Source organism: Homo sapiens, chromosome 6, assembly GCF_000001405.40.
Source record: "Homo sapiens chromosome 6, GRCh38.p14 Primary Assembly".
Classification (NCBI taxonomy): Eukaryota; Metazoa; Chordata; class Mammalia; order Primates; family Hominidae; genus Homo; species Homo sapiens.
In genome coordinates, this window is record NC_000006.12 from 127,749,848 (window position 1) to 127,759,873 (window position 10,026).

The following is a 10,026-nucleotide window of genomic DNA, read 5'->3' on the forward strand; positions in this document are numbered from 1 at the left end:
CACAAAAACACCATGTCATGAGTTTTATAGAATATAGGAGTAGATTAGGATTTTCGAGTAGAACAAGGTATTAATAGACAGGCACTTTGCTTGATCTTTTCTCAGGAATTAATAAAAAGTCATTCCTAACCACTGCTCATTTCTGTATAGAATGGGGACACTGCATCCTAGATCAATTAGAAAGGCTTATCAGACATACTCTAACAAATTAAATGTCAATGGATTCATTATAATCATTGTTATTACAGAGGCATTATCACACCTCTGTGCAGGTCTCAATCAACTAACTTTGTTGTACCTAGGTTGTAATGAGAAGGCTGTCCTTACAGAAGTGAGAAAAATTACTGATATTTCTACTCTAATTAATAACATATTCTGGCCACCTGTGGCTGAGAAAAGATATTTTCCCTTGAGTGCAACAAAAAACAAGAAAATGATATGGTTTGCATTTCATTTTATTGAGTCAGGCATGTTTTTTTTTCATCGTCTTGGCCTATAAGTAAAATGTCCCCTCATGTAGACATTACAAGCACTGATTTCATTTATTTTTATACATATCTCATACAATATGTTGTATGATCAATTTGAAAAAGAAAACACGAACCAACTCACTAATTATAGGCACAGTTTAATCCATGCCTGATCATAAATTTGAAGCCAGGAAGTCAATGCATTATTAATACAAGAGCTATTTTTTTTAGTAAAGGTATGTATTTGGATTCCATAACAATGGCACAAAACATAGTCAAACTAGAACTTTTTACCTGATTTAAGACAGCAAAAATCTGCTTGTTCTAACACTGACTACATAATTGCTGATGCAATTTTAAATTAATAGTTCAAGGTTTTGAGAACATTAAAGTAGAATAAAGAAGCTGCTTAAACAAGAGAAAATCCTTGTGACATATAAAAGAACATTCATAAGACTATCAGTGGATTTCTTAGCAGAAACCCTACAGGCCAGGAGAGTAAGATTATATATTCCAAGTGCTGAAAACATTGTCAGCCAAGAATATTTCACCAGGAAAAGCTGCCCTTCAGGAAAAAAAAGAAATACTTTCCCAGGCAAACAAAAGTTGAGAGATCTTATCATCTCTCGACCTTACAAGACATACTGAAGGGAAGTATTCAAGGTGAAATGAAAGAATGCTAATTAGCAACATGAAAATATGACAGTATTAAACTCACTGGTAAAGGTAAGGGTATAGTCAAATCTAAAATATTTATGTTACAGTGGAGGTACACGAATAACTTTTAACTCTTGTATAAAAGTTAAAAAACAAAAGTATTAAAAGTAACTATAGCTATAATAAATTGTTAATAGAAACACAGAATGAAAGTCATAAATAGTGACATCAATAACATAAAATGTGTGTCGGGGGAAGAAGTAAAAATGTAGAGTTTTTCTTTGTGATCAAACTTCGTTGTTATCAGCTTAAAATAGACTGTTATAACTACAAGATCTTTTACGTAAGTCTCATAGTAATAACAAAGAAAAACCTTTAGCAGATACACAAAAATAAAGAGAAAGGAAGGAAAGCATCTTACTATAAAAATAATCAATCACAAAGAAAGGCAGATCAAAGGAATAGAAGAACTCACTTCAGCTTTAAGGACAAAGTGAAGTAATCAAAGAAAGATATTCCATGCAAACAGTAACCAAAAGAATGTAGAAGTGGTGGCAATACTTTATATGAGACAAAACAGACTTTAAGTCAAAAATTATCACAGGAGACAAAGAAGACCATCAATAAAAATAAAAGTGTAAATTTATTGAGAGATTATAACAATTGTAAATATACATGCACCCAACATCTGAGCACCTAACTATATAAAACAAATACTGAACTATATAAAAAAGAACAGAACTGAAGGGATAAATAGACAACAATACACTAATGTTAGGGGACTCTAATACTGCACTTTCAACAATGGATTTATTATCCAGACAGAAAATCAGTAAGAGAATAGTGAACTGAAACAACTATAGACCAAAATGATCTAACAGTAATATTCAGAACCTTCCATCCAACAGCAGCAAAATATGTATTTTTCACAATCACACATGTATCATTCTCCAAAATAGGTCATATATTAGACCACAAAACAAGTCTTAATAAATTTAAGAAGATTGACATCATATCAGGTATCTTCTTTAATCACAATGGTATGAAATTAGAAACAAGAAGATTAAATGGACCACTATTGAACAGCCAATAGGTCAGAAAAGAAATCAAAAGGGATATCAAAACGTGTCTTGGGACAAACAAAAATGAAAACACAACATATCCAAACTTATAGGATGCAGCAAAAGCCATTCTAAAAGGAAAAGTTATCACAGTAAATACCTACATTAAAAAAGAGAAAGATTTGCATATACAACCTAAATTTACACCTCGAGGAACTAGAAAAGAAGAATAAGACAAGCCCAAAGTTAACAGAGGGGAGGAAATGAATTAGAACAGAAATAAATAAAATAGAGACAAAAAAGTAGGAAAGAGTAATGAAACGAAGAGTTTTTTTTTTTTTTGGAAAAATAAAATTAGCAAACCTTTAGCTAGAGTAACTAAGAAAAAAGAAGACTCAAATAAAAATAAATATAAATTAAAGAGAGAGCATTACAAGTGATACCACAAAAATACAAAAGATCACAATGGACTATGATGAACAAATATACACCAACATATTGGTAAACCAAGAAGAAAGAGATTTATTCCTAGAGACATCAAATTTATGCTTGCCCTCCTAGAAACATGCAAACTACCAAGACCCAATCATGAAGAAAATAGAAAACTTGAGCCAACCAATTATGAGTAAGAAGATTGAATTAGTAATCAAAACCTCTCAACAAAGAAATGTCTAGGACCTGAAGGCTTTACTGGTGAATTTTACCAAACATTTAAAGAAAAATGAACACCAATTCTTCTCAAACTCTTCTAAAAAATTAAAGAGAAAGAAATATTTTCAAACTTATTTTACAAGACCAGTATTACTCTGTTACCAAAGTCAGACAAGAACCCAAAAAATAGAAAACCACAGGCCAATATACCTGATAAGTGTAAAAATTGTCAACAAAATATTAGCAAACCGAATTCAATAACATATTTTAAAAATCATTCACTATGAGCAAGATTTTCCCCTGGCATGCAAGGATGCTTCAACATATGCAAATCAATAAATATGATACACCACATTAATGGAATGATGATTAAAAATCACATAATCATCTCCATAGATTCAGAAAAGCATTTGCCAAAATCTAACATCCCATCATGATTTAAAAAACTCATTAATTAGGTGTAAAAGGAACATACCTCAATATAATACAGATCACATATGACAAGCCCACAGCTAACATCATACTCAAGAGTAAAAAGCTGAAAGCTTTTCTTCTAAGATCAAGAACAGGGACTGTAAAGACTCCATTAAAACACTGTTAGAACTAGTAAATAAATTCAGTAAATACGTGGATACAAAATCAATATACAAAAATCAATCTCATTTCTATACACTAGCAATGAGCTTTCTGAAATAGAAATTAATAAAACAATCCCTCTTACAATAGCATCAAAAATAATAAAAATACTTAAGAATAAAATTAACCAAGTATGTGAAAGATCTGTACACTAAAATCTATAAAGCATTATTGAAAGACATTGACAAAGGCAAAAATAAATTAAAAGATATCTACATTAATGTATTAGAAGAAATAGAAGAAAGTTTTCACAGAAATAGAAAAAAAGCAATCCTAAAATTTATATGGAAGCACAAATGACCCTGAAAAGCTAAATCAATCTTGTAAAGGAAAAACAAAGCTGTTAACAAAACATTTTAACATATATGTTTTGGAATATAATAGAATATAGACTATAATAGAATGTTGATTGCCAGGGGCTGATGGGAGGGTGAAGTGGGGAGGTGGTGGTCAAAGGATACAAAGTTTCATTTTGCAAGTTATGTTCTGAAGGTCTACTGTACAACATAGTGCCTATAGCTAACAACACTGTATTCTTATATTTAAAAATTTCTAAGAGGATAGATCTTATAATAATAATAACAACAATAAATGATGATGATGATGATGATAATAATAATATAGAGGCCAGAAGAAACTTTGGGAAGTGACAAATATATATCTATGGCCTTAATGGTGGTGATGGTTTTATGGGTTTATACTTATCCTCAACTCATTGAGCTGTATACATTGAATATGTGCAGATTTTTACATGTCAATCATACCTCAATAAATTATCTTAAAGAAGTTGCTTAATATTTATTTCACATTTTTTAAATGCTTTACAAAACATACATTATACAAGTAGTCACAACTTACAAAAGGGTTGTATTTCTACATTTGGATAAAGGGCTTTTGGAGACTTTTTCTACAAAGCATTCTCAACCATGTGTCTAGGTTTCCAGCCTCTTCCACAGCAGTTGCTTTAATGTAGCTGAGCTTTAACACAAATAATATTTTCAAACGAACTCATATTTAGTACATAATTCTTATGGTCAAATTGTGAAATATGTTTACAGTTGAAACTCAGGCTGCTGTGGCCTGATGATACTGTGATGGACCCAGATTCTTACTCTCTCACCACTCTGCCATTCTTGGCATGACAGTTTTGTCCATTGGTCAATTCCTCTCATAGTCACAAGATTGCTACCAGAAACAACTCAGCAAAATGCTTCTTTGATCATATACACTGGAACACAGGGAAACTCTCCCTCGATGAAATAATATAATTTCCTCCATTCGGTTTCACAGGGCAAACTTGGATCATGTGCTCATCTTCAAACTAATAATAGTTGTTAGGGAATTGCCTTAAATTAATGAGAAAATAACCCTAAGAGTCATGATAGAGGTATAAAAAAGAGGAGTTAATATAAGGAAAAAGGAGGACAGCAATGCATTCTGGGTATCAGGCTACAAAGAGATTTGGGGACAGCAGTGGAGACAATAAAAACAGATGAGCAAAGGGTGAATGGTGGCAACGGTTCAATGAATAAACTGTCTATAAATTATCTATTGATCATTTAATGGATATTCATAATATTCACACAAAATATGTACAGAAGGTTGCATTTCTAGAAATTATTGCAATGCATTGGAGAACTTTCCCAAGAAATCAGACAAGAATTAGCATAAAGCTCCGTCACATTCATTCTTTTTTTTTTAAACCCTCCTTTAAAAACTATTTGGCAGCTTATTATTAGGGTAAATTCTTTAAATAAAAATCTTGGTCTGCTGTATACAAGGCATCTTTTTTTGAAAACCGCCAGCATCTACAGAACACGTGTTCCAAAATAATATAATGCTCTTGCACTATATCTAGCTTTAGTGTCATCATCATAGATTAGATTTGAAGACAAAATTGGTGGCTACAGCCCATGCTAGGCATTGAATCCCTGTATTTAAAAAATGCTTAAATACTTTTAAATTAAAAGTTCTTGTTAGGGATTGGTTAGTTTGGCTTCCCAGCCTAAAGAAGCTTTGGATTTCTGCTGAGAAAACAACAGAAGAATCAATGAACAAGAATTGTGAAGCTTCCAATAAAATGGTTAACATTTCACATTTTGATCCAAAATATACATTTTTTTTTAAATTACCCTACAGAATGCTTGAAGTAACCATCTGGCATATCAAGGCATCATTTTTAAAGATTTTTTTTATTTTGCTATCAACTTTACTATAAGTTTTAATTCTGTGTTGTATAAACATTTTGCACAATTAAAGTAACAGTAGAAAAGAGCAACATTCTCATTCTCCATACTTTAGCAATTTTCAACCCTAACCCATTCAAGCACAGAAGAGGATCCATGTAATCAAAGTGTGTCATTTAGCAACCTTTTTGTTTTTATAAAAAAGGGTTTATCATCATGGTCTTTAAAAAATTAGGAATTTCAGTTGAACGCAGTGGCTCACACTTGTGACACCAGCACTTTGGGAGGCGGGCAGATCACTTGAGGTCAGGAGTTCAAGACCAGCCTGGCCAAAATGGAGAAACCCTGTCTCTACTAAAAATACAAAAATTAGCCCAGCATGGTGGTGCATGGCTGTACTCCCAGCTACTCAGGAGACTGAGAAAGAAGAATTGCTTGAACCCAGGAGGCAGAAATTGCAGTCAGCTGAGATCACACCACCGCACTCCAGCCTGGGCCACAGAGTGAGACTCCATCTCAAAAAAAAACACAAAAAACAAAAAACAAAACAAAACAAAAAACCCAAAACCAAAAAACCCAGAAATTTTATTTTAACACTGTTTAATTTTCTAAAAATCTACATGTAAAAGTATTGGTATGCAAGTAAGTACTCATTTGCATTATGTTACAAGTATAATTATACAAGGCTGTCAGGTAAAAACGGTAGAACACAAACATCTCCTTAATCTGTAGATCAATGCCACAAATTCAACTATAAAATCATGGGCCAATTTTACTATACCTAATGTCATTTCTAATCAATTTCACTTTTTTGCAGCAGCAAAAAAGATGGAAACAGTAGTTTGTATGATAGTCTCTAACAGAATGCTTCCATGACCAAATTCAATTTTATTCAAGGTGGCTGTATACATATTTCCTCTAAACGCTACTTTTGATAGGATAATAATAAAGTGATGAAAACGATCAATGTAAAAAACCATTACAGAAACCATTTTGGTACTTTGAACTGAAGCTTTTTTTTCCTGAAAGTCCTCTGTCACTCAGCTGCATCATCTATTATTTTTCACTAATTATTAGCTGTTTACGAATATGACAGCTACTGTACATAGCTGAAGAAATACAGCCTAGAAGGATTACGTCTTTCTAGTATTTTAATATGCAGGTCAAATTAATTCCAAAAGTGAGTTTCATCAGAGTGGTTCATTGCTTAGCTTTTATGAGGCTGCAGTAATGTCAATTTGAACTCCAAAATGCAACTAGTTTGCCAGCCAATTATTTATATCCTAATAAAAAATGCTACCACAATTAATCTGGGATTGTTTTTTCTGATAAATGGACAACTTATGACTTTTCAATTTATATATTTTCTCATTAGAACATTTCTGTCAATTTGTGATTTGGTGGCAAAAATAATAAATTAGCATTGTACATAATAAAAAATCACTTATTTTAGAAAAAAGTAGAAAATCAAAAATATCTGTACTTCAAGTAAAAAAACAATTCTTTTATTCCATAATAAAGTTTTTCAGTAGAACTTTCTCTGACGATAAAAATGTTCTATATCTGTTTCTCCATTACACTAGCCACATGTGGTCATTAAACTCTTGAAACGTAACTAGTTCAAATAAATAAGTAAAATTTTAATTTTAGCTAATTTAAATGTTAGAAGCCCCAAGTGGCTAGTGGCCGTATTAGTCACCATCTACAGCGTATTATGCCACGGATTTCTGCAAGTATTGTTGAAGTACTGGCAATGTATCTAAGCCTTGGGTAAATATACAAATTTTTTCTTGAATAGACAAAAATGTACTAAAAATGTGATAATCTCTAGAGATACTAATATGTTTAAGTACTTTATATGTAAAAAGAATTTAATTCACCCGTGCATACATAAATGGCAGATAGCTATAGACGTAGACTATATTTACATATATATATATGTAAGTGAAAGTGATACATGTCACACATGTCACTTTTTTTTTTTTCTTTTTTGAGACGGAGTCTCGCTTTGTCGCCCAGGCTGGAGTGCAGTGGCGCTATCTCGGCTCACTGCAAGCTCTGCCTCCCGGGTTCACGCCATTCTCCTGCCTCAGCCTCCCGATTAGCTGGGACTACAGGCGCCCGCCACCACGCCCGGCTAGATTTTCGTATTTTTTAGTAGAGACGGGGTTTCACCTTGTTAGCCAGGATGGTCTCGATCTCCTGACCTCGTGATTGGCCCGCCTCGGCCTCCCAAAGTGCTGGGATTACAGGCATGAACCACCATGCCCGGCCCATATATCACATTTTATTGGCCAAGTCAAGTCATATAGACAAGTCTAATATCAGTATAGCTAAGAATATTATCTTCAGGAATTACCTGGTAGAGAGCGATCAGGTAATAAAGGGCAGTACATATTTAGACAATAATTATTCTCTATAGATTGATAGGTACATACATACATAAATATAGATAGATAAATTATATTCACATACGAATATGTATATATACACACACCCACACACATAGATATATGTTATATACAAATACACATATATGTATATAACAATATATATTTATATACTTATACATGTTCATAACAAAAGAGATTTGAACTGGTTAAAAATTATACATAAAATTAACAGATTACAAAAATAAAGAATTAAGAATAGAATAAAAATAAGATGTAATTTAAAAGGAGGGAGTATACAAATATCAAATCATAAGATGTTTTATGGTTGATAGAGTTGGACTGTAAATTGGGTTCTGAACTTCCTAGTATCCCAAAAGAGGAAATACATAATCAATTTCTACACTTAAACCCACAAACGGATCAATTTCTTAGAGAAACATGGCTTAACTGGAAGAATTTATGAAAATACCTTGTAATAATGAAAAACCCATTCCTTAACAATTACCTTATAATAAATATATATTATATATATAACATATATAATATATATTATAAATATTTAATACTACAGTAAAAGAATAGCCCTAATGCCTCATAGGTGCCCAATACATATTTCTTGAATGAAATATGTCTTGAATGGAAAAAGAAAGGCAGAAATGTCAAATTCCCTATAGCAGAAAGATAAAAAAGTGACTTAATGTAAGCTAAAGGTGTAACATTAAAGTTGAAAAAAGTAAAAGATCTTTCACAAGAAGGCAACTATATAAATATGTGTATGCATATCAAGATTTCTAATTGTGTGATTTAATACAAAAATGTTTAGAGTATGTAGAAGAATAAACGAACTACAGGTGATACAGGTAATCACATGAAAGAAAGAAAGAATTATTGGATCATTTTGTGAAAAAGAAACTGTTTCTTTGTTGGGCAAGTAACACAATCAGAATTATAATAAAAGTTTACAAGACTTTTGAGTCCAAAATTGTGTAATTTAAGCCAGTTACTTAGGTAATTGGTGCAGTATTATGCACAATTTATGAACTTACAAAATAGTTAACCAGCAGAACTCAATGCTAGACATGTCAAGAAGTCTGGAAAGAATTATATTACAAGACAGTCATATTAGATATTCTATTTTGAAATGGCTGTGTATTACATACAGAAATTGGTTGTGTTTTCAGAACTCAAGAAGAGTACCTTTATTTTAATTAGTAAAGAAGAGGAGTTTGCTATTTAAGCATAAATTTATACAGGGGAATGAAGTAATACTTTTAAATAAAGATGCTTGATTATAAGAAAATTGCATATACTAAACTTTTAGAACACAGCACAATGCTCTCAAAAATGTTAAGCAAATTAATCAATGAATAACACTTATAGGTAAATTTTGAGGTTTGCTCAGTCCATATTCACAAATATGTAGGCTGATGACACCAAAATATACATCTCTGACTGTAACCTCTTCCCTAATCACTGGACTCATATAAATTGAATATATTCAACTACCCTCCAAGGGGTGAAGTTGGGTGTTCAAAGGGTATGAATGTTTAATTTCAAATTTAATATTTCCAAAACTTAATTATTCACTTCTCCTCAAACATATTTCCACACCAGTCTTCCTCATCGCAGTAAGTGGAAAATTTGTTCTCCCAGCTGCACATGTTAATAACCTTAGAGTCAACCTTAACACTTTATCTCACATATATTCATCATTGAATTACGTTGACTCTGTCTTCAAACACATCCAGCATGTAACCACATCTCATCACATCTATCGCTACATCCCTAGTCCAAGTCACCACTCCCTCTTCACAGGATTATTTAAAAGGTTTTTCGTATGTTGTTTATTTTCCTTTTCTTCTTTCTTCCTTCTTTCCTTCCTTCCTTCCCTCCTTTCTTTCCCTCCTTTCCTCATTCCTTCCCTCCTTCCCTCCCTCCCTCCCTCCCTCCCTCCCTCCTTCCTTCCTTCCTT

General features: G+C 32.3%; 1 protein-coding gene across 9 annotated transcripts in view; it reads right to left on the minus strand.

The window, feature by feature from the left end:
• THEMIS (thymocyte selection associated) overlaps nucleotides 1–10,026 on the minus strand; it is a 221,968-nt gene that overhangs the window by 53,220 nt on the left and 158,722 nt on the right. The window lies entirely within an intron of this gene.